Here is a 25,889-nt window from a genome sequence, read left to right on the forward strand (position 1 = left end):
ACTGTATCCCAAAGTGTTGCAACAACCAAGAAGTGGATCCTCTGATTAGAGGAGAGAAGAAAAATGTGTCATCAGGAAGCTATTTTAATGATGGAGAAAGGGCCCCTTTTTGGACTACCCATAGCTAGTTTTAAATTGCAGAGAGGTTTTCCTGCTCCCCACCCCCAAGAATTGAAAATGAAGGGTAAATTCACGAAGACTCCTCTCTCCACCCTCTTCCTCCCTTTCACCCATCTAGATTTATGTAAAGCAATCCATTACAAGTCTTCATGTACCAGGATTTATTATCAGCATTTATGAGCATCATTTCTTCTTGAAATAGAGGAAGACTTTTTTTTAACCTTTTAAAAAAGGCATGAGGTTTCTCTTGTGACGCCTCAACTCATTGTGGCTTTGGTCACAGTATACCCTATATACAGTAGTTACCTAGCTCCTCTCACCATTTCTGCTCCTTACTAGATTATTAATTCTTGTTGAACAGAAGCTTTGTCTTATGTATCTTTCTGTCTTTATAAGCACAGTACCTGGCTCAAAGTTAAGCTCATTAAAAGTATACAGAATTGAGAGGCTGTTAAGATTTGTTCTCTTCCATCATGGTCTAAGGAGGGTTGGGTAGAAACTATGAGTAGTGACATTGGAAAGAGGAAAAGACAGATCAGCCTCTTGGAACCAAGAGAGAAGGTAACAAGGGCCTTTAAGGGACTAAAATACTCCCAAGTATTAGTGCTGGCAGGAAATCCCTTCCTCAGAGTACAGAATCCCTACCCTGGGGCCCCAGGAACTCTCTCCTATCTCAGTCTCACTCCCAGCCCTCGCTTCACTGGAATCCCAGGTCTAGCTCGGGCCACGAAGCAAGATCCCAGTGAATATGAAGAGGAACAAGGAAATCTCAGCTTGAATTGTAATAATCCCCATGTGTCAAGGGCAGGACCAGGTAGAGGTAATTGGATCATGGGGATAGTTTCCCCCATTCTGTTCTTGTGATAATGAGTGAGTCTCAGGAGATCTGATAGTTTTATAAGCGTCTGGCATTTTCTCCTGCTTGCACTCATTCTCTCTCCTGCCACCCTGTGAAGAGGTGCCTTCTGCCATGATTATACATTTCCTGAGGCCTCCCGAGCCATGCAGAACTGTGAGTCAATTAAACCCCTTTTCTTTATAAATTACCCAGTCTCAGGAATTTCTTCATAGCAGTGTGAGAACAGACTAATACAGCAAGTAAGAGGGCATATTTTCTTTCTTTTTTTTTTGAGACAGAGTCTCGCCCTGTAGCACAGGGTGAAGTGCAGTGGTGCGATCTTGGCTCACTGCAACCTCTGCCTCCCGGGTTGAAGTGATTCTCCTGCCTCAGCCTCCCGAGTAGCTGGGACCACAGGTGCCCACCACCACGCCTGGCTAATTTTTGTATTTTTAAGTAGACACGGGGTTTTGCCATGTTGGCCAGGCTGGTCTCTCTTGAACTTCTGACTTCAAGTGATCCGCCTGCCTCAGCCTCCCACAGTGCTGGGATTACAGGCATGAACCACCGCACCTGGCCATTTACTTATTTTTAACAAATATAAAAAAAACTTAGAAGTACTTTTGTTCACTTGTGACTGTAAGGCCCTAGACTCCTCCACTGAGAATTTTGTTACCTTAGTGGTTTTTCAAAAATGTAATAGCCAGGCAGGGGAGGGGCTGTTATACATCATGAGTTAAGTACTTTAAACTTTTGCCAACTGCCCTGAGATCCTTGCTATCTTGTATAGCTTCTGCAGGAAAATGTCTGCTCAGTTTTGCCAAACCAACTTTTCTTTTTTTTTTTAAATCGAGACGGAGTCTTGCTCTGTTGCCCAGGCTGGAATGCAGTGGTGTGATCTTGGCCCACTGCAACCTCTGCCACCCAAATTCAAGTGATTCTCCTGCCTCAGCCTCTTGAGTAGTGGGAATTACAAGCATCCGCCGCCATGCCCGGCTAATTTTTGTATTTTTAGTAGAGACGGGGGTTTCGCCATGTTGGCCAGGCTGGTCTCGAACTCCTGACCTCTGGTGACGCACCTGCCTCGGCCTCCCAAAGTGCTGGGATTATAAGCATGAGCCACCACGCCCAGCCGCCAAACCAACTTATAATTAAACTTTTGGGATGCAATTCATGGGTGATTTGGAAAATGCTAACATTCCTAAGTTTAGCTTCCTATTACTTAGACTACATTCCTGTTGACATCCAGAGAATGGAAATGGAGTTTTGCCGTATGACATCTTTTAACAAATACATTCCAATTCTATTATAATATGGCATGTTACTACACAGATTAAGAAATACTTATGAAACCTTGGCTCTAAAGTGCTCCTAAATCCATACATACTTGTATGTGTTTTCCTCTATTTGAAACAGCTAGCTTGCTTCCTTTCTTCCTTCCTTTTTTTTTTCTTTTTTCAGGGTCTCTGTCACGAAGGCTGGAGTGCAGTGGCACAATCACAGGTCACTACAGCCTCAACTTCCTGGGCTCGACCAGTCCTCCCACCTCAACCTCCTGAGTGGCTAGGCGCACACCACCACACCCAGCTAATTTTTTGTTTTTTTCATAAAGACAGGTTATCATCATGCTGCCCAGGCTGTGAAACAGTTTTCTTTCTTTCTTATTTATTTATTTTATGTTTTATTTCAATAGTTTTTGGGGTACAGGTAGTTTTTCGTTACATGGATGAATACTTTAGAAGTGAATTCTGAGATTTTAGTGCACCCATCACCCAAGCAGTGTACATTGTACCCAGTATGTTTTCTTTTATCCTTCACCCCTGCATCCCTAGAGTTCATTATATTGCTCTGTATGTTTTTGCATCCTCATAGCTTAGCTCCCACTTATAAGTGAGAACATACAGTATTTGGTTTTCTTTTCCTGAGTTACTTCACTTAGAATAATGGCCTCCAGTTCCATCCAAGTTGCTACAAAAGACATTATTTTGTTCCTTTTTATGTCTGAGTAGTATTCCATGGTGTCTGTATTTTATATATATATATATATATATATATCTTTTTTTTTTTTTTTGAGAGTCTCTCTGTCACCCAGGCTGGAGTGCAGTGGTGCAGTCTCGGCTCACTGCAACCTCCGCCTCCCGGGTTCAAGCAATTCTCTTGCCTTAGCCTCCTGAATAGCTGGGACTACAGGCACCCGCCACCATGCCCGGCTAATTTTTGTATTTTTTTGTAGAGGCGGGATTTCACCATGTTGGCCAGGCTGATCTCAAACTCCTGACCCAAATGATCCACCCACCTCGGCCTCCCAAAGTGCTGGGATTACAGGCATAAGCTACCATGTATAACACATTTTATTTATCTACTCATTGGTTGATGTGAAACAGCTTTCTGTACTACAAATAGTTCTGTCTCCCATTGAAATTATGAAATTTCAATGTATACTACAGGGCATATAGACCCTCAGTGATGAATGCTTTGCAGTCATTAAAAAAAAATATATTGACCTGCATTTGTTGGTATGGAATGATGTCCACAAAATACATTATTATGGAAAAGCAAGTTATAAAACAATATAAGCTACTCACATTTTGTAAATAAAATATCAATATTTCTGTATATGTGTATACATGTGTCTAAGTGTATATAACATGTATACACACAGAGTATGACATACAAGCAGATATTTATAGTTTTTGTTTTTTTTTTTTTTTGAGACGAAGTCTCGCTCTGTCACCCAGGCTGGAGTGCAGTGGCGGGATCTCGGCTCACTGCAAGCTCCGCCTCCCAGGTTCATGCCATTCTCCTGCCTCAGCCTCCCAAGTAGCTGGGACTACAGGCACCTGCCACCACGCCCAGCTAATTTTTTGTATTTTTAGTAGAGATGGGGTTTCACCGTGTTAGCCAGGCTGGTCTCGATCTCCTGACCTCGTGATCTGCCTGCCTTGGCCTCCCAAAGTGCTGGGATTACAGGTGTGAGCCACTGCGCCTGGCCAATATTTATAGTTTCTATGAAATACCCGCTTTCCTCAAGCATTAGAAATCCATAAAAATCAGTGTGGATGCTATATATCTTAGGGAACTTGGCAAAGATGGGAGAAGTACTATGTGTATGCAGAACTTCATTTGAACAACATCTAGTTTTAAGCTGAAACAGCTTGTTTTTACGGAGACTGAATTTTCTTTTTTAGCTTTTGAACATGGAGACAGTTAAACATAATGCAAAAGTAGAGAGAATAGTACAATGAACTCCCACGTAGCCATCATCTAGTTACAATAGTCATCAACCTATGGCCACTATTGTTACATCTATACTCCCAGTTACTTTGCCTCCCCACAGGTGGATTATTTTGAAGCACATTCCAGATATATTATTTCATCTGTAGATTTTTTACCGTGTATCTCTAAAAGATAGGGAGCCATTTTTTTCTTCTTACGTTGTACATATCAGTTCTAGAATTTGCATTATAATTTCCATTTCTTGTTGAGATTTCCCACCTGTTCACTCATTATGTTCATCTTTTCCTTTAAGTACTTGAACATACATATTTATAACAGCTTTTTAAAAATCTGTTAATTTTATTATTGGGTCTCCTCAGAGTCTGTTTCTGTTTTGTTGACTGCTGTTTTTTTTTTTATTGTACATTACGTTTTCCTGCTGCTTCCCATGTCATGTAATTTTTTTTTTTTTTTTTTTTTAAGAGAAGGGCCTTGTTCTGTCACCCAGGCTGGAGTGCAGTGGTACAATCATAGCTCACTGCAACCTCAAACTCCTGGGCTCAAGCAATCCTCCTGCCTCAGCCTTCCAAGTAGCTGGGACTATAGGCGCACACCACCATGTCTGGCTAATCATGTAATATTTAATTTTATAAGTGGCATGACAGATAATATCTTGGTGGAGATTATGTTGTTTTTCTTTAACATATGTTTTAAACAACTGCCAGGCAATATGTTAAATCTGTTTGATTCTTTCAGGCTTGGTTTTTATTCTCTGTTAGGATGGATCTATTTGTGTTTTGCTGTTAGTTCTAGGGGGTGGCTGAGGCCAGTGTGGGCTCATGTGTTGTATTGTTTTCTTTTAAGGTTCATGGTCCTGCATTGCCTAATATCCAGTGCCAAGATATAGTTGCTTCACATATTTTGTCTAATTGGTTAAGACAGGTGGGAATTCTAGTACCAGTTATGCTGGAATGGATGGAAAAGGATATTAATTTTGTTTTTTTTGAGACAGAGTCTCTGTTGCCCAGGATGGAGTGCAGTGGCGCATTCTCAGCTCACTGCAACCTTCTTCTCCTGGGTTCAAGCAGTTCTCCTGCCTCAGCCTCCTGTGTAGCTGAGATTACAGGCGCATGCCACGACACCCGGCTAATTTTTGTATTTTTAGTAGAGACGGGGTTTCACCATGTTGGCCAGGCTGGTCTCCAACTCCTGATCTCAAGTGATCCACCTCAGCCTCCCAAAGTGCTGGGATTACAGGCATGAGCCACCGCGCCTAGCCGGATATTATTATTTTTTTTAATCTATAAGTTTACTTTCCCTTTTTTTTTTTTTTTGAAAATTATTTGTTGAAGCAACTGGTTAGCCTATTGGTTCTGTGGAGCTTTGCATTTTGTGGATTTTGCTGATGGTATTATATTCCACAGGGCTTGTTGAAGATGTTCCTCTATAAAATGGTAGTTAGATCCAAGGCCTGATTTAAGTTAGACATTTTTTGGTACAAGTACTTCATAGTGGTGTTGCTGGAGACATTGTGGCCTGGAGACATTGGAGACATTAGTGGCCATTGGCAATCATGACCTGGCTCATTAGGAGTTTACAAATGACAATATTTTAATTACTCCTTCTTTATTTATCAGCTAGAAAACATCTACAAAGAGAAACTTTCTCATCAAGTATTTCATTACCCTGACAGGCCCTGTCCCAGCAAGGAAAGTTAAATGGTTTGTTCTCCTTATTTATCAGTTTTTAAAATACCATAGTCCCCCGCTTATCCAATGGGGGTATGTTCCCAGACCCTCAGTGGATGTCTGAAGCCACAGATGGTACTGAACCCTGCACGGTGCTGTACTATGCTTTTTCCTATACACACATTTCTGTGGTAAGGTTTAATTTATAAATTAGGCAGAGTATGAAATTAACAACAATCACTAAAAATAGAACAATTTTAACAATATACTGTAATAAAAGTTAGGTGAATGTGGCCTTTCTCTCAAAATATCTTTTTCACTGTGCTCACCCCTTTTTTTTTATGATGATGTGAGATGATAAAATGCTTACGTGATGAAGTGAGGTGAATGAGAAAGCATTGTGATGTAGTTTTAGACTACATGTCTGAAGGAGAATCATCTGCTTCAGGTGATCCTGGATCACTAAGCCATGACATGATGTCAGAAGCAGAGAATGTGGATGACTAATGGGTTGCTAGTGTGCAGGGTGTGGACCTGCTGACAAAAGGGAGGATTCATGTCCTGAGCAGAATGGAGTGGGCCAGTGTGAGATTTCATCACGCTGTGCAGAACGGTGTGTTTGTGAATTGTTTATTTCTGGAATTTTCTTTCTTTTTTTTTTTTTGAGACAGAGTCTCGCCGTGTCTCTCAGGCTGGAGTGCAGTGGCGCGATCTCTGCTCACTGCAAACTCCACCTCCCGGGTTCCCGCCATTCTCCTGCCTCAGCCTCCCGAGTAGCTGGGACTAGGGGCGCCCACCACCGCGCCAGGCTAATTTTTTTTGTATTTTTTAGTAGCGACGGGGTTTCACCGTGTTAGCCAGGATGGTCTCGATTTCCTGACCTCGTGGTCCGCCCACTTCGGCCTCCCAAAGTGCTGGGATTACAGGCGTGAGCCACCGCGCCCGGCCTGGAATTTTCTATTTAATATTTTTAGACCTTGATTGACCTTGGATAACTGAAACTCTTATCTAAGAGGAGACTACCGTAACAGGTTTATCCTCCAAAAGTGACCAATGAATTTTTGTTTCGGGTCATTATATGGGTTAATTTTTTTTATATGGGTTTATTTTTAATTGTGTATCTACTTCTTTAATTTTCTGAAAGTATATGAAACGTCATGGAGCATTGAAATTGTGAGGCAGGATTGCAAGATTCAAGATAGAAGAGCTATTGACAGAAGTAGCATTTCTAATATATGGAATTTAAGAAACTCTTACTATACCTTAATGTTAGAGTGGAAGACTGTAGGGTAAGAGAGGATTAACAAGAAAGTGAGATGGTGTCTCCATTTTAATCTGCTGCTTGTGTGTTCTGAATGTATTGGAGAGGGAAAGCCATTGCAGTCAGTTAGAAGATAATGGCAGAAACAGAAGGACCTGAACTAGGGTAATGACTGCGGGATGGAAAGGGAGAGATGGATGCCAAGGAAATGGTACAGAGGAGAAATCATCATGACCTGGTGGTTTGCTGGAAAGGAGACCCGAGGAAGGGAAGGGGCATCAAAGCAGAAAAGGAGGAGTTGGCAGGAACAGAGAACTTAGTAGGGAAAAGAGTCTCTAAGATGAAATTGCAGGATGACTAAGTATCAGTGAATTTGGCCACTAGTGATGATGGCGGCTTGGAGCAAAATTTAGCAGTAGAAGGAGCTTGTGAAAAGTGACAGTTGGTGGTGGTTGTAGAGAATTGTGGAGGGGTTTTTTGTCCCTTCTTTTTTTTTTTTTTTTGAGACAGGGTCTCACTTTGTCACCCAGGCTGGAGTGCAGTGGCGCAATCTCAACTCACTGCAGCCTTGACCTCCCAGGCCCAAGCGATCCTTCCACCTCAGCCCCCCAAGTAGCTGGGACTACAGGTGCACACCACCACACCTGGCTAATTTTTTGCATTTTTTGTAGAGATGGGGTTTCACCATGTTGCCCAGGCTGGCTTTGAACTCTTGAGCTCAAGTGATTGGTCAGCCCACCTTGGCCTCCCAGAGTACTAGGATTATAGATGTGAGCCACTGCACCCAGCCCTTTTTTTTTTTTTTTAACAACTTTTTTCCTTCTTTCCTTCTTTCCTCTTTTTTTTTTTTTTTTTTTTAACAGAATCTCACTCTGTCACGCAAGCTAGAGGACAGTGGTGCAATCTCAGCTCACTACAACCTGTGCCTCCGGGTTCAAGTGATTCTCCTGCCTCAGCCCCCCGAGTGGCTGAGATTGTAGGCGTGTGCCACCTCGCCTGGCTAGTTTTTGTATTTTTAGTAAGAGACAGGGTTTCGCCATGTTGGCCAGGCTGGTCTTGAACTCCTGGCCTCAAGTGATTCACCTGCCCAATGTTTTTTTTTTTTTTTTTGAGATGAAGTCTCTGATCTTTCACCCAGGCTGGAGTGCAGTGGCATGATCTCGATCTCCACTCACTGCAACCTCCGCCTCCCAGGTTCAAGCGATTGTCCTGCCTCAGCCTCACGAGTGGCTGGGATTACAGGTACATGCCACCACACCTGGCTAACTTGTATTTTTAGTAGAGGTGGGGTTTCACCATGTTGGCCAGGCTGGTCTCTTAAACTCCTGACCTCAAGTGATCTGCCTGCCTCAGTCTCCCATAGTGCTGGGATTACAGGCGTGAGCCACCGCGCCCAGCCTGTCTGTTCAATCTTAACAGCTTTTTTGAGATATAATTCACAGTCCATACAGTTCACCTATTTAAGGTGTATAATTCAGTGATTTTTTAGTATATTCAAAGAGTTGTGCAAGCATCACCACAATCAGTTTTACATTTTTATCACCCCAAAGAGAAACCTCTTACCCATTAGCAGTCACTCCCCAATCTGCCCATCCCCTCATCCTTAAGCAACCACTAATCTTTCTGTTTCTTTTTTTTTTTTTTTTGGCGATGGAGTCTCACTCTGTCGCCCAGGCTGGAGTGCAGTGGCGCGATCTCGGCTCACTGCAAGCTCCGCATCCCAGGTTCATGCCATTCTCCTGCCTCAGCCTCCAGAGTAGCTGGGACTACAGGCGCCCGCCACCACGCCCAGCTAATTTTTTGTATTTTTAGTAGAGACAGGGTTTCACTGTGTTAGCCAGGCTGGTCTCGATCTCCTGACCTCGTGATCCTCCTGCCTTGGCCTCCCAAAGTGCTGGGATTACAGGCGTGAGCCACCGCGCCCGGCCTAATCTTTCTGTTTCTATAGATTTGCCTCTCCTGGACATTTCATATAATGGAATCATACAACATGCAGTCTTTTGTGACTGGCTTCTTTCATTTAGCATGATGTTTTCATGGTTCATCCCTATTGTGGCATGTGTCAGTTTATTGCTGTATAATATGCCACTGTATGGATATATCACATTTTGTTTATCCATTCACCAGTTTGTGGACATTTGGGTCATTTCTACTTTTTAGTTCTTATGAATAATGCTACTATGAATATTTGTGTATGTGTTTTTCTGCGGACATATATTTTGTTTTGGTTTTGAAATAGGCTATGTTTAGATGCAGAGGGAAGCAAAGAAACTGGTAAGGATGTGGTAAAATTACCACATCCACAAGACAACGTTTATTAAGTACTGAAATATTCCTTTATGAAAGTTAACTCTTGCCATCCCTTTTATCTTTCACATTTAGAGTCTATATTATCACAACCTTGTTTTTCCTTTGAGTCAGCATTGTGATCATTCTGGACGTGGGGTCCCACACACCCTGTCTCTGTCAGTAAGATTATGATTAAGATCAAATAGAAATAGGTCAGGAGAGAAAAGAGCTCCCTGGCCTTATTCTCCTCAAACTAGCTGATGCTCCTGAATACCAACCTCTTTAAGAATTGATATTTCAAAGGACAACTCCTCTCTGTGGTCTTCTGTCCTCTCTCCCCTACTTTATGCTCTGTGCATAGCAGCTGTTCAGGACATCGCCCGAGCGCAGGGGCACTGCAATCAGAAAAGCGAGTGAGGGACACAGCAGGAGAAGGCTGTTCTGGGGCTAGTGAGTGGGAGACGGGACAAACAGCTAGATAGCAACGTGATGGCTTCACCATGGGGTGAAGCGTGGGGGAGAGTATCAATTACCTAGATTTTAAAAAGAGAGCCCTTGAACACCTCTGTCACTGGTCACTTTTACCAAAGCCTTCTAACTTAACGGAAGGAGATGCTGCACTTTAAAGAAAAATCACAGCTGCGGAAGACAGTCTCGCAAAGCCAGTTTTTGTGGCTTAGTATTTTGGGGTAGCTTGTTTCATGAGGGTCAGATTAATTTTCTAATGTTGTTTTCTACCTTAATGTTACTGCTTTAATCATTAGAATGCCACCAGTTCCTTCAGGCAATAGGAAGCTATTGAAGATTTAATGAGATTCATACTGCTTATGCTTAAATGTTGATGACTTCCTGCATGCATATTAATCATTCCTGACCTTGATCTCAAATTCCTTCCCGGTACAAATTCTCATTAAACATACCTACTAGATCTCCCAGTGTTCACTGAATACCTGGTTTGTTTCCAAAAGTACATAAAAGAACATTAAGTCTCATGTTCGGTATGTGTCAAATGTTCAGTTCCCTTGTCTGATTTGTTTTCCAATTCTTATTGTGACTGTAAATCTGGAGAATTTAGGGGAAGAAAAATCAGTAACTCTTAACAGGGGATTTAGCCTAGTTTACAAGAGTATATGATCTGTGCAGCAGACCTTGAACACAGCTAATTGCTTGTCTAGGTCAGTATGTCCAACTGGCAACTCTCAGAGCCCATCCAGGCCACAGAGCATTTCCGGGTGGCTTGTGTGTGCGCTCCGGCTGTCGAGCAGCAGGACTTGGCTTCTGTCCCCGGCTTCGTTGGCCCCATCTTTTAGTTCAGGTCCACCCCCTCCTGCCTCAGAGGCCTGGGAAACCCAGCCTGGCCACCTGGTGTCCTCATGCCCAGCATCTACGCATCTGCCCCAGTTGTCCCCTCAGCCACCTTGGCAGATTTCTTGACTTAACAGTTCTTCCCTGAACTAGGACCGGGGGCAGGAGTTATTAGAGAAGGGAGAGGAAAGGTGACAGGTCTCAGGAGTCTGAGGGAAGATGAAAGTGAGAGCGAAGTAGTGTGGGAGAGAGGGGGATCACATCCATGGGAGAGAAAATAAATATGTCAATATTAGGGTGGTGAGGCCTGTATACAAAGACAGGATGGCAGGGAGAAGAAGTAGGCAAGGACATAAAGGGGCTTGGGTATGCAGATGCTGGTCACTGAAATGAGGAACAAAGGAGGGAAATTTGCGTGTGAAAGAGGCCACATGTGAGAGAATAGAGAGAGCAAAATGACAGCTTTGCTTGGCAGAACGTGACCATGCACAGCATTGGGAGACACAGTCTGATGAAGCATTTTTTCCAATTTGTAAATATATTTATAACAAAGAAACATTATACTTTTTTTTTCTTTTTTTTTTTTTTTGAGACAGAGTCTTGCTCTGTCACCCAGGCTGGAGTGCAGTGGCGTGATCTTGGCTCAGGGCAACCTCCGCCTCCTGGGTTCAAGCGATTCTCCTGGCTCAGCTTCCCGAGTAGCTGGGACTGCAGGTGCGCACCACCATGCCCAGCTAATTTTTTGTATTTTTTAGTAGAGACGGGGTTTCACCATATTGGCCAGGCTGATCTCGAACTCCTGACCTCAAGTGATCTGCCTGCCTCGGCCTCTGAAAGTGCTGGGATTACAGGCGTGAGCCACTGCATCTGGACTACTTTTTTTTTTGAGAGGGAATCTCACTCTGTCACCCAGGCTGGAGTGCAGTAGCAGGATCACTGCAACCTCCACCTCCTGGGTGCAAGCGATTCTCCTGCCTCAGCCTTCCCAAGTAGCTGGGATTACAGGCACCTGCCACCATGCCTGGCTAATTTTTGTATTTTTAATAGAGACAGGGTTTCACTATGTTGGCCAGGCTGGTCTTGCACTCTTGACCTCAGGTGATTTGCCTGCTTCAGCCTCCCAAAGTGCTGGGATTACAGGCATGAGCCACCGTGCCTGGTCAGAAATTTATTATTATAAAAACACAAAGAGATATATACTTAGCATATTACATTACATTGGGATTATTTTAGGTTGTCCCAAAGGTGTAGTCATTTGATTCAGAGGCATAGCCTGCTTCTGACATGTTGGTTGTTTAAAATGTGGCCTGTTCTGACCAAGAAGTTGGACAGTATTGGTTTTGATGACTATCTTGCCACTTATTTTTTACAATGTGGTAATTTTTACATCCAGATAGTTTTTCATCTTTTTTTCTTTTTTTGAATCAGAGTCTGGCCCTGTTGCCCAGGCTGGAGTGCAGTGGTGCAATCTCGGCTCACTGCAACCTCCATCTCCCGGGTTCAAGAAATTCTCCTGCCTCAGCCTCCCGAGTAGCTGGGACTACAGGCGCCCGCCAGCACACCCGGCTATTTTTTTTTAGTTTTAGTAGAGATGGGGTTTCACCATGTTAGCCAGGATGGTCTCGAACTCCTGACCTTGTAATCCGCCCACCTCAGCCTCCCTAAGTGCTGGGATTACAGGCGTCAGCCACTGCGCTGGCCTAGTTTTTCATCTTTTTAAAGCACATTTCCGCTGATATAATTTGACTGGATAGGTGAAAAGATATCCATTTTGCAAAGTAGATTTTTTATATTTAATGATCAAAATCTTTATCTTTTAAAAACAATTTTTATAAAATAGCCACAAAATTTCATACCCTTTAACTTATTTACTTAATTCCACTTCTAGAAATCTATATTTAGAAAATAATTAAGTCGGGCGTGGTGGCTCACGCCTGTAATCCCAGAGGTCAGGAATTTGAGACCAGCCTGGCCAAAAATGGCGAAACCTCGTCTCTGCTAAAAGTACAAAAATTAGCCAGGCATGGTGGCGCCCACCTGTAATCCCAGCTACTTGGGAGGCTGAAGCAGGAGAATCACTTGAACCCAGGAGGTGGAGGTTGCAGTGAGCTGGGATTGCACCACTGCACTCGAGCCTGGGCAACAGTGAGACTCTGTCTCAAAAAAAAGAAAGAAAATAATTAGAGATGCTGCCAAAGATTTAGGTTCAAGAATGTTTATTACAGTGTCGCTTATATTAATATTAGCAAAGAACTGGAAATAGTCTAAATGTCCAATAAAATAGAGAAATGATTCAGTAAATTATGATTTATTCATAAGTTGAGATGGGCTGTTGTATGGTCATTAAAATACTGCCTATTAAACTATTATACTTCCTCCAGTTTATTCTCCACACTGCAGTCAAGTGACCTTTGAAAAAGTACATTGTGGCCAGACATGGTGGCTCACACTTGTAATCCCAGCACTTTGGAAAGCCAAGATGGGAGGATCGCTTAAGGCCAGGAGTTCCAGACTAGCCTGGGCAACATAGTGAGACCCCCATCTTTATAAAACATTTAAAAATTAGCTGGGTATGGTGGCATGTGCATGTAGCTACTCGGGAGGCTGAGGTAGAGGATTGCTTTAGCCCAGGAGTTTAAGGCTGCAGTGAGCTATGATTGTGCCACTGCACTCCAGCCTGGGCAACAGAGTGGGACTCTTGTGTCTTAAAACTATAAAAATAGAGAGCCGGGCATGGTGGCTCATGCCTGTAATCTTAACACTTTGGGAGGCTGAGGCGGGCAGATCACTTGAGGTCAGGAGTTCGAGATCGGCCTGGCTAATATAGTGAAACTCCGTCTCTATCAAAAAAAAAAAAACAAAAAAAGAAAAAAAAAATTAGCTGGGCGCGGTCACATGTGCCTGTAATCCCAGCTACTTAAGAGGCTGAGGCAGGAGAATTGCTTGAACCCAGGAGTCCAAGGTTGCAGTGAGCTGAGATCATGCCACTGCACTCCAGCCTGGGTGACAGAGTGAGACCCTGTCTCAAAAAAAAAAAAAAAAAAAAAAAAAATATATATATATATATATATATATATATATAAATAGTCCAGGCGTGGTGACTAATGCTTGTAATCCCACCACTTTGGAAGGCCAAGGCAGGTGGATGGCTTCAGCCCAGAAGTTCGAGACCAGCCTGGGCAACATGGAAAAACCCTGTCTCTACAAAAAAAAATACAAAAATTAGCTGGACGTGGTGGTGTGCACCTGTAATCCCAGCTACTTGGGAGGCTGAGGTGGGAGGATTGCTTGAGCTGGGGAGGTGGAGGTTGCAGTGAGCCAGGATGGCGCCACTGTACTGCAGCCTGGGCGATAGAGCCAGACCTTGCCCCCACCCCCCCAAAAAAGAAAGAAAGAAAGAAAAATATGAAAATAAAATAAATTTTAAAAGTACATTGGATCATTTCACTCCCCCTTAAAATCTTTTCTTGGCTTCTCATTGTAGTCACTGTAAGTTCCTGACCTCCAAGGCTCTCTGGCCTCATCCCTTCACTCTGGTCTCCAGTCCTTCCACTCCTGTCCACTGGCCTGCCCCTCAGGTGCTGTAATTCTCTAGGCCCTTTCCTCCTTGGGATCTTTGCATATGCTATTCCTCGTGCTTGAACCATCTTCCCCCAGCTCTTCATCTGGCTAATTCCTGCTTGTTCTTGAGGTCTTCATCTCATTGTCACTTTAAGAGAGGGATTTCCTGACCTCTCTACCCAAAGGAGGGGCCTCAGATATATTCTGTCATTGTGGTCTATGCTTCTTTGTAACGTATATCACATTTTAAAATCACGTTCATTTGTGTGGTTCTTTAATTCCCAGATCCCCTCTGGACTTGGTCTGTTTCCTTTCTTTTCTGGAGGAGTTCCTCAAGTTTCTTCTCTATCCCTTCAATTGAGGTTTTCATTTCTGTTGCCATATTTTAAATCTCCAAGAGTCTGTCTTGTTCCATGAAAGGTTTTACACACACACACACACACACACACACACACACACACACATTTTATATATATACACATATATAAAACCTTTCATGGAACAAGACAGACATATATATGTGTATATATATGTGTATATATAGGTATATATGTATATATATGTGTATATATATGTATATATGTGTATATATGTATATATGTGTATATATCTAAAACCTTTCATACATACATATATATAAAAGGTGGCTCACGTTCACCTGTATTAAACTGTAAGTTCCCTCAGGGTAAGGACTGTGCTTTTTTCATCCCATGAGTGGTAAGTGGTAGATTTCTGACTAACAAAATTACCAGACATGAAGTATGAGGGCAAAAAAAAGTTAAAGGAAAAATTAGGAATATGGACAAAAATGTGATTCATGGATAGTCTTCAAAGATTAACAGTGTTGTCTTGCCCAGAATTTAATAGAGAAAAAAAAATGGACTTGCAGAAAAACTTGAGGCCCTTCAAGCTGTCATCATATCAGAGGTGATAAGACCCAGTGAACTGTTTGAGAAATTGGGTAATTGTCACTAGGTAAAGGAAAAGGATTGAAAATTAGATAAGGGTTAGTCCCACAAAAGAAATTTTAAAACTGGGCTGGGCGCGGTGGCTTACACCTGTAATCCCAACACTTTGGGAGGCTGAGGCGGGTGAATCACGATATCAGGAGTTTGAGACCAACCTGACCAACATGGTGAAACCCCGTCTCTACTAAAAATACAAAAATTAGCCGAGTGTGGTGGCAGGCACCTGTAATCCCAGCTACTTGGGAGGCTGAGGCAGGAGAATCGCTTGAACCTGGGAGCAGGAGGTTGTAGTGAGCTGAGATCGCACCACTGCACTCCAGCCTGGGTGACAGAGTGAGACTCTGTCTCAAAAAAAAAAAAAAAAAAAAAGGAAATTGCAAAACTGAAGTAAAATGAAACAAAATATGACACGTATAAGGGCAATATTTCTGGCCAAGATGCAACAAAATTCATTTCAGAAGTCCAAAGTTCAAATACACATCTACCCTTGCTGCCTCTCTTGTAGATTAGGGCATGACCCTATAAGATTAGAGAACAGGAGAGGAGACAACAGGAAACAAGCAAAAAAAGACCAGAAGCTGAAAAGCAGATAATAGGAAGTAAATGGCAGCAGAACCAAGAAAACATAATCCTGTTCAGGTGGTAGAGAAAGCAAGAATTCCCAGGAATCAACTGGTGGCACCAGGTATCTCTTGATACAAGAGTGAAGTGGAACTAAAACGAAGAACTGCTAACCTCCAGATCTCATACTCTACAAAATGTAATGACTACCCCTCTACCATTCTGGCAGAATTATTCTTAGGAGAGAGTAAAACACTCTCAAGAGAGAATAAAACAGAGAGGTCTCTGACTGGAGAAGGCTAGCAACATAGTATCCCGGTTAAGGGTGGGGTACTATGATGAGTGATGAGGGAGATTAAGTGAACAACTGCATACTTGGATGCTAGGACACCCCCCATCCCCCCCTCACCCCACCGCCACCTGCTGCGGGCTATTACCTTTCTGCCCTCCTATTTATCTTCCAGAATGTAGGTAAATTTCACCAATTTCTCCACTAAAATTCTTTTTGTTTTCCAGGATCCAATTCGGTATTCCACAATGTAATTTAGTTGTAAAGTCTTCTTAGTCTTCTATAATCTTCTGACAGTTCCTCAGTCTTTCCTTGTCTTTCATGAGTCCACTGAGGGTTTTAAATCCCCCACTCTTACATAGAAGCAGACAACCATGGATTTCCAGATATCTGAGAACGCCTCTAATATAAAAGACAAATACCAAACAAACAAAAGAAAGAAGCCAGGCGCAGTGGCTCATACCTGTAATCCCAGCACTCTGGGAGGCTGAGGTGGGAGGATCACTTGAGACGAGGAGTTCAAGACCAGCTTGGGCAACACAGTGAGAACCCATCTCTACAGAATATTTAAAAATTAGCTGGGTGTGGTGATGGATGTCTGTAGTCCTATCTATGAAAGAGTGTGAGATAGGAGGATCACTTGAGCTGCCACTGCATTGTACTCCAGCCTAGGTTAGAAAGAAAGAAAAAGAATTCAGAGACTACACAGAGAAGAAATTTTCTAGAAAACTATTAATAATATACTCAAGAAAAATTTTCCAACCGCAAAACAAGAATAGAATACTATTTTTAAAAACTTTCATGGGGCTGGGCATGGTGGCTCATGCCTGTAATTCCAGTACTTTGGGAGGTGGAGGCGGGAGGATTGTTTGAACTCAGGAGTTCAAAACCAGCCTGGGCAACATAGAGAGACCCCTCTGTCTATTGTATATATATAAAATATATACATATTATATATTTCCAAGGAGGAAAGGGCCTAGAGACTATATATATGTATATAATCTCCAAGAGGCCAGGTGCAGCGGCCTCTTCCGTCAAGCCTTAGCACCTATAAACTTTATAAAACCTACTCTCTGTGAATTGTGCATGCCACTAATCTTCATCTAGCAATACATTTCTGCTCATTCTTTAAAATTCATCTCAAGTACCATTTGATTTAGACGAGCCACCTCTTGGTTCCAGTGGCTTCCTGATCATACCTCTAGTGCTATATTGTAACCATCACTTAATTAGTTCATGATTTTTTCTCTTCTAGACTATAAGTTACTTGAACATATGGATTTGAGTCAGTAGGTATAGGTGAGACATGGGAATCTGCATGTTCAACAAATTCCTCCTGGCATTCTAGGGCTCCAATCTCAGGTATGTTTGTTTCTTTTTTTTAGACAAGAGTCTTGCTCTGTCTCCAGGCTGGAGTGCAGTGGCGCAATCTTGGCTTGTCGCAACCTCCCGGGTTCAAGCAATTTGCCTGCCTCAGCCTCCCAGGTAGCTGGGACTACAGGCGCACGCCATCATGCCCGGCTAATTTTTATGTTTTTAGTAGAGATGGGGTGTCACCATGTTGGCCAGGATGGTCTTGATTTACTGACCTCATGATCCACCCGCCTCAGCCTCCCAAAGTGCTGGGATTACAGGCGTGAGCCACCGCGCCCGGCCTAACCTCAGTTTTAAGTGGTTTTTAAAATCTACTTCAACTCTGAAATATCAAGGCTTTTCCTCCCTGCAATTTAACTGGTATTGGGGAGGGCAGGTAAAGCTTTCGGGTAGTTGATTAAAAACAACAACAAAAAAAGCAGGGGCCGTCTTCTTTCGTGCCCACAATAAGAGCTTATACTGAAATGTAGAGTAAGGTAGATAAGTAGAAATAAGATAAATACCCTTATTTCATTTAACAGTGTTTGCACAATGTGTCCAATTTTTATTCACTAGTTCTAAAACTATTGAGGGCTTACTATATGCCAGACACTGTTCTAGTCATTGGGAGTACATCAACACAGACAAAACCCCCTACCCTATAGGAGTTTGCATTGGTAGGCAATAAGCAAATAAAATAAGTAAAGCAAAGTATTTTAGAAGGTGATAAGTATTGTGGAGAAAATAGAACATTTAGGGGAGCTTTCTTTTATTTGTCAGTGTTTAGTAATAAATTACTAGAGAGAGTAATTTTTAAAAATTTGAGCTATTTAAATAAGCCATACTTTAAAAGGCAGGATTTAACCTACATCTAATCAGAAGAGAACTTGGGATTTGCAAAATTCAGGTCTGGTTTCCTGTTATAAAGTTGACAGTAAATGGCTTTCCCATTATGTCAATAGGAATGAAATAATTTAGTGGCTCAGGGAATTGCTTCCAAGGAGTCAAAAGTAAATTGTGTTTATATAATTTTTTTTACTACTATTAAAAAAAGCCACAAACCAGAAAAAAATTGTTTTGTACTTGTCTACAAGGCAGAGTTAATTTTATTATTAAAAAAAATCCTATACTCTAAAACCTCTTCTATTATCTCCTCACTTCTTCGTTTTAATTTTTTGTTTGCATTTTCACGTTTAGGTAAAAAGATATTGGTCCTTTTAGGATATATGGGGATAGAATTATATGAGGAAGCACAGGACTCCTGGTATGGAATGAGGAAGCTGGAGATTTGAGCTTAACCTCTCTGGGGTGCTTAGAACTAAGTAAGAGAAGCAGTCTGTTTCTGCAGGGAAAATCACTTCTCCATCTTTACTCTCAAATAACTTACTTAATCAAATGGTCTAATGTTTCATTGTAAAGAGTCTTAAAAGTCAAAATTAATGTCACCTGCAGAGTAAGCTAAACGAGTGATGAGCTTTGTTTTGCACAGCAGTTGAAACTGATTTTCAAAGTCCCACCAAACAGTAAAAGACTTTTCTTGCATTTCTGAAAAACTAGAACTGTGTGGTGATTCTGAAGACTGTCAGTTCCTGTGGGGTGTTTACACAAAGGTACTTTTAAATGAAGAGTCATTTTTAGAGCAATTAGAGAAAAGGCTAGACAGAGAAGAGCGGCTCAGGGGCTTGGCAGGTCGGGGTTAAGGTTTATTGACAGGACAGGGTCAGGCGTCTGCTTAGCCACCACTGCCCCGAGTACCTGCCCTCCGGATACACCCAAGACCTCCCTGGCCTTGGCTCCCTGCCATAGGCCAAACTCCCATGCAGAATGAGGAGAGGGGAAAGGAGGAAGAGGAGAGCAAGTTCTGCTGGTTCAGTATTGAACTGCAAGTATGAAAATGTTTGTGTATATTTTTCTGGCCCAGATGTTGTGTTAACATTAGGAAGAAGAAACTTTAAAACAAAGAATTGTCTGTTCTTTCAACTTTGTAGTTTGCAGTTTGCATCCTGAAGAAAGAAATTGCCTAGCTAAAGTAGTCTTTTAATTTCATTTTTTAGTTTTGAGTTACAGGTTTCTGGCAAGCTCCCTGACCACTACTGTTACCTGGTGGCGCCTATATTTCATCAAATTTAGACATGCAGACTACCTGGATCCAGGCCCAGATGAACTGTTGTGACTGATAAACATGATCCCACCCTGCCCCCATGCAGACTCCTGCTTTTCCCTTTAAGGGAATCTAAGACGTTGAGTCGCCGGATCCCCAAGGGAGTTAAAGAAAAATGTCTTCCGGCATTCACATTTGCTCTGTGGTTTTCTTGAGCTGCATCTCTGCTTGCCCAGAGGCTGGTGAACATCCCAGCAGTGCCCTGACTTCTCCAGTGTTGGTAACTAATGGAGGGAAATTTTTTTGTTTTTAATAAAAACAAGCAGAGACATCTATCAGTACTCACAGACAAGGCAGAATTTGTTTGACATCTTGTGATTGCTGCGTACAAAAAGAATGACAGCAGTTATTAAACAAATAAGAAAAAAGATGCTGTTTATTGATAGTTTTCAGATATCCTAAGAATATTTTTAGTAATCTTACTGCCTTTGCTTGCATAAGTAAAAAAAGTGGAATTGTTAATTTTTGCAATCTGGGTTGTATTAGATTTGGAATCATAATAAAAATGTAAATATTAAGCAAATATGTGCTGTTTAGCTATGTAACATACTCGTGGCTTTTCCTTTTATTAGAATTTATTTCAAATACTTGTTTTTAAGATGGTAAGGTGAGTATTAGCAGTCAATGCAATTAAACTTAATTGCATTTTCTATATGAATTGTTTTTGTCTCTTTTTAAATGTATTTATGGTTCTTTTTCTCCATACTAGCTATTCCTATAGGTTTGTCTTGACAAAAAATTATAAACAATTGTTTGTTTGCAGCCGGGTGTGGTGGCTTAACATCTGTAATCCCAGCACTTTGGGAGGCCGAGGCGGGCTGATCACCTGAGGTCGGGAGTTCGAGATCAGCCTGACCAACATGGAGAAACCTCGTCTCTACTAAAAATACAAAAAATTAGCTGGGCGTGGTGGCACATGCCTGTAATTCCAGCTACTCAGGAGGCTGAGGCAGGAGAATCGCTTGAACCCAGGAGGCGGAGGTTGCAGTGAGCCGAGATCATGCCACTGTACTCCTGCCTGGGCAACAAAAGCAAAACTCCATCTCAAAAAAAAATTGTTTGTTTGCTTGGAAACAGTCTAAAGTCACAAATTTGATTTCAGTTTCATTTGGAAATTTTAAAATGAAAAATTGGGACACAGTCAAGTGGGAAAAGCATTTAAACTGTTCAGTGACTGAACTTTCGTTTTCATATCATGTTAATGTGATCTAAAAAAAATAATTTCTTCCTGGCCTAAGTTACCCCACTTGAGGATTGTTACAGTGATTTCAATCCCTGACCTCACCAGATGATGTGGAAGCATCAGGCCACATATTTTTATAAGTACTGGGTGAGGGCAAAGATTTGCTTGGAAGGGAGGAGAGAACCTCCTGGAAGGTTGATAATAGTTTGTATCTTGATAGATGTTGGTTACACCAGTACATGCATTCGTCAGGACTCATCGAATGGTACCTTAAGATTCGTGCATATCATGGTATGTAAATTTTACCTCAAGACACCAACAAAGGAACTTATAAACATATATTAAAATCTAGCATGTTGAAGTATTATAGGAGAGTGAATACTGATCTTGATCTTTAAAACTTACTTTGAAATGCACCCCCCAAAAAAGATGGGTGAATGGATAGTGAAACGTTTAGAAATGTGGTAAAGAGTAAGTATAGTAAAATGTTAATTGTCAAATCTAGGTAGTGTGAGTGTTCACTGTAAAATTCTTTTTTTTTTTTTTTGAGACAGAGTCTTGCTCTGTCACCCAGGCTGGAGTGCAGTGGTGTGATCTCAGCTCACTGCAAGCTCTGCCTCCTGGGTTCACGCCATTCCCCCACCTCAGCCTCCCAAGTAGCTGGGACTACAGGCGCCCGCCACCATGCCCGGCTAATTTTTGATTTTGTATTTTTAGTAGAGATGGGGTTTCACTGTGTTAGCCAGGATAGTCTCGATCTCCTGACCTCGTGATCCGCTCACCTTGGCCTCCCAAAGTGCTGGGATTACAGGCATGAGCCACTGTGCCTGGCCTCATTGTAAAATTCTTTCAGCTTTTTTGTGTGTTTGACATAAAATGTTGTGTTCCATAAAATGTTGGGAAAAAATGAAGGTACTGGTTTTTGCTCATTTAAGGATCTGTGTACCTCCATTTTAAATCCCCTCCTTAATTCAAAATCAGACCACTTGGATTAATACCAAAAAGGGGAAGGGTGTGAAAGTAGCCATTTAGATAAACAGAAAAATGTACCCACCTCATACTTTCTCTAGTTACCTGCTGAAAGACCATTACCAAGCATGGAGGCCCAGGGGGTCTTTACAAACAAGAATAATTCTGAGAAACCCAAACCACAAAGCCCAACCAATGACCTCTCCAGGCAGATAAAAATTGGCCTCCAGAACCCTAACCATGAAAAAAGACATGACTTCCTACATGTAATCTTCACCAATGGCAAGCAGGTAACCCCCCGCTATATACCTTATACTAAGACCCTATGGAATGAAAATGGGCTTTTGGTTTTCAGCCAAATCCCCAGGATTTGGCCATGAACACCTCCACTTTATCAGAATGCCAAGCTATTTCTTACATCCTGATAAAGCCTCCTTTTTAAAGACATATAGATTGTGTGTGTGTGTGTGTGTGTGTGTGTGTGTGTGTGTGTGTTTTAATCTTGAAGGGTCAAAAGGATAAGTTGGTTCTGGTAGAATTTGAGCCAAACTTTTAAAAGCTAATGATAATATATTTTTTAATTAGGCCATATTGCTCAGTTGATGCTTGAGCAGTAAACTAGAAAATCAAGATTTGAGAGGCTCAGTGATCTCAATTCCTTCAGGGTCTCATAGTGAACTCTGGCCAGTTAATTTATCTCCAAACTTTGATTTTCTCATTTGGAAAGTGAGAATAAAGCCTGACACAAAATGGCTAGCCCATGGTTCTCAAACTTTTGTGTATGTAGGAATCATTGGTTAAGAAACCTTGGTGTGTGTAAACATAATTTAGTTTATTAAAATAGAGATTCCTGGGTTTCAAACTGGGTTTTCTCAATCAATTGTTCTAGGGCAGAGCCCAGAAATCTACATTTTAATAAGCACCTAGTGTGATACTGATGCAATTATTGGACCACAGGATATATGGTGTAGATGTGTTTTGATGGGTATTATATTAACTGAGAATTTTTTTAGCTTTTTGTTATGGAAAAAAATTATTATTATTATTATTTTGAGACAAGATCTCACTCTGTGGCCCAGGCTTTAGTGCAGTGGCACGATCAAGGCTCACTGCAGCCTTAACCTCCAGGGCTCAATCAATCCACCCACCTCAGCCTCCCGAGTAGCTGGGACTACAGGCAAGTGCCACCATACCTGGATAATTTTTGTATTTTTTTGTAGAGATGGGGTATCGCCATGTTTCCCAGGCTGGTTTTGAACTCCTAGGTTCAAGCGTTCTGCCCACCTCAGCCTCCCAGGGCTTCCAAAGTGCTGGGATTACAGGTATGCACCATGTTATGGAAAATTTTAAATATGCATTAGAGAGAATAATGGTATGAGTCTCCATGTAAGAGATAGAAGCATCACCCAACATCCATCAGATTTTTTTTTAAGAGTCTGGGTCGCTTCGTTGCCCAGGCTGGAGTGCAGTGACACAGTCAGCTCAGTGCATCCTCAAACTCCTGGACTCAGCGTGCCTGTCTTCACAACTTCAATAATCTTGATTCACTTTGACATTCACCCTTTCCTGCATCCCTCCTCCAAGGTGATATGTAGAAGCAATTGTTAGATATATCATTACATCTAGTAAATATTTTAGTAGGCATCTCTAAAATATTAAAATATAAGTACTCTTTTAAAGATATATGATGGTTAAACCTTACCAAATTTGAGAGTAATTTCTTAGTATCAAATATGTCAGTGTCTAGATTTCCTTGATTATCTTTTTGTTTGTTTGTTTCAGTTGTTTTGTTAGAATTAGGAACCAAACATATTCCCATGTTGCATTTGGCTGATATGTCTCTAATCGTTTATTCTATAGGTTCCTTCTCTCTCTGTTTTTCCCCTTGTGGTTTATTTGTTGATGAAACCAGGTCATTTGTTCTATAGATTTTCTCAGTCTAGATTTCGCTTTTTGGGTCCCCATGATGTCATTTACCTTTTTTTCCCCTCCTGTTTCCTGCAAATTGGTGGTTCCATCACTTCCCTCCTGAAGTATGATCAGATTCAAGTTCAGTTTTCTGGCAGGAATACATCACAGATAGCGTCTTGTACATCTTTCAGGAGGCACACGTTTGGTTGTCTCACTTTTTGTCATGTTAGCACCATTGATGGTCATGGCTGAGATCCTTTATTTCCTTAGGGAGAGCCCCATATTTTAACTTAGTGAGTAGCTCATGAATCTCTCCCCTTCATCATGGAGTTTTTTCTTTTCTAAGTTAGACTTCTAGAGCTTTCACAGATTTCACAGTGAGCCCATAGCGCCTACCTAGACATTCTGTTTGCTGTAGAAACCAGAAAGGCTTTCTTGCTCTCATATCTTAGTTTAATTTACACAATATAGTAATCTTTAAAATTTGTCCTAGTGTCCCCCAAATTTGTTTCTATTTCTGAGACATGTTAAGATGAATGGATGACAGAACAGAAAGTTGAGGGCTCTAGAGTGAAATCACAGTTGCAGGTAAGTTGACGAGGTGCAAGTACAAATAAGACACAGTCACCAATTCTGTACCAACATCCTATCCAGAGGGAAGGGGATAAATTTTTATTATCTATATTTACTTATTTTGTCCTGACAGCAAACATAAGGTTTCTGGGTCAGGAGCAGACAATTATGACTTAGAGCATTAACTAAGTCAATTCCCCATACCCCAGTACCCTCCTTCAGGGCAACATAAAGGGGTCTAGAAGAAGAGGGCCTGGAAGAATGAGGTTGGATATGCCAAGATTACTCCAGGAACTGAGAATGAATGGAATCATTCCTTTATTCAGCAAACCCACTGATTGTCGGCTGTATGCCAGACACTAGGGTAGATGATAAATACTAGAAAACTCCCAACCTAACACACAAAACCATATGCCTCTGTGTCTAGAGTTAGGCATCAGGTGTCATCTTGTGCTTATAGGTAAATCACATACCCACAGTTACATGCCCTGCAATGACATTTTGGTCAACAATGGACTGCATATATGATGGCAGGTCCCATAAGAATATAATGCTGTTTTTACAGTACCTTTTCCATGTTTAGATACACAAATACTTACCATTGTGTTCCAGTTGCTGACCATATTCAGTACACTGACATGCTATACAGGTTTGTAGGCTAGGAGCAATAGGCTATCCCATATAGCATAGGGATGTAGTAGGTTATACCATCTAGGTTTGTGTAAGTACCCTTTAGGATGTTCTCACAATCACAGATCACCTAATGATGCATTTCTCAGAATGTATCCCTGTTGTTAAGTGATGCATGACTGTATTTGTGTGTGTAAGGATATGAGTGTGTATGTGTATTTATGATTTTGTACGTGTACACGTGTGTATGTCATATTCCCTTCTGACTTAACATTATAATTTCTGAAAATCTTTTTCTTCATTTTTAATTTGTCTTCAGTTGTCGTTTGTGCTAAAGTTTGCATGAAGTTTTCTTATCCCTCACTTTCCAGGTAGCAGTGGAATTTACTCTCTACCTTCTGTTGTGTCTGCTCATGTGACAAGTTCTTTTGGTAAGAAAGTAAAGTCTAAACTATAAAAGTTAAACTCTGAAAGAAGAAAATTCAGGTGCAAAGTGACAAGGATTTCACCAGACTGAAGAGACCTAAAGAAAGGGAGGGCCAGATCCCTCAGCTGCAAGTCTCTTGATTTGGTGAGGGATTAAATGTGCTAGGTCCCCTGGTACTAGTGGGGGCTGGGGTTTCAGACCTCACGGAGTTGCCATTCTGATGGGGAAACAATAGACGCAATTAGACAAACAAACATGATAACTTCAAAATGAGAAACGTGCGTTTAGGGAAATAAACAAAGCTAAGAGGGTGCCAGTAACTAGGGGGGACCACTTTAGAGAGAGAGGTCCCAGAAGGCCTGCTGATGAAGTGACATTTGAGCTGAGGCTCAAAGGCCATGAATGGGCCAGTGATGTGAGAACTTGGTGAAAGAGCAAATGCAGAGCCCAGAAAGGGCTTAGTGTCTCTGAGGAGCAGAAAGGGGGCCCCTGTGGCTGGCGGCAGTGAGTGACAGGAGGGTGGAGTGCCAGGAGGCCAGAGGGAGGTGGGGTCAGACCATTGCAGGCCCTCAAGGCCATAATGGGA

General features: G+C 41.8%; 1 protein-coding gene across 8 annotated transcripts in view, besides 1 other annotated feature; it reads left to right on the forward strand.

The window, feature by feature from the left end:
* METAP1D (methionyl aminopeptidase type 1D, mitochondrial) overlaps positions 1–25,889 on the forward strand; it is an 82,478-nt gene that overhangs the window by 2,580 nt on the left and 54,009 nt on the right. Inside the window, exon 1 of one of the 8 annotated variants that reach the window (XM_047443872.1) lies at positions 17,111–19,830. The exons of the other annotated variants lie outside the window; for them this stretch is intronic. The gene's annotated coding sequence lies outside the window, so the exon portion shown is untranslated. Of the gene's footprint in view, positions 1–17,110; positions 19,831–25,889 lie in introns of those variants that run through there. 8 annotated transcript variants of the gene reach the window in all.
* Positions 10,982–11,061: an enhancer, noted in NCBI's record as "active region_16761". NCBI's record gives its function as "activates an Ori minimal core promoter by ATAC-STARR-seq in GM12878 lymphoblastoid cells {active_cell/tissue: GM12878}" and the evidence as "EXISTENCE:reporter gene assay evidence [ECO:0000049][PMID:35858748]".

Source organism: Homo sapiens, chromosome 2 (assembly GCF_000001405.40).
Source record: "Homo sapiens chromosome 2, GRCh38.p14 Primary Assembly".
In the NCBI taxonomy this organism is placed as follows: domain Eukaryota; kingdom Metazoa; phylum Chordata; class Mammalia; order Primates; family Hominidae; genus Homo; species Homo sapiens.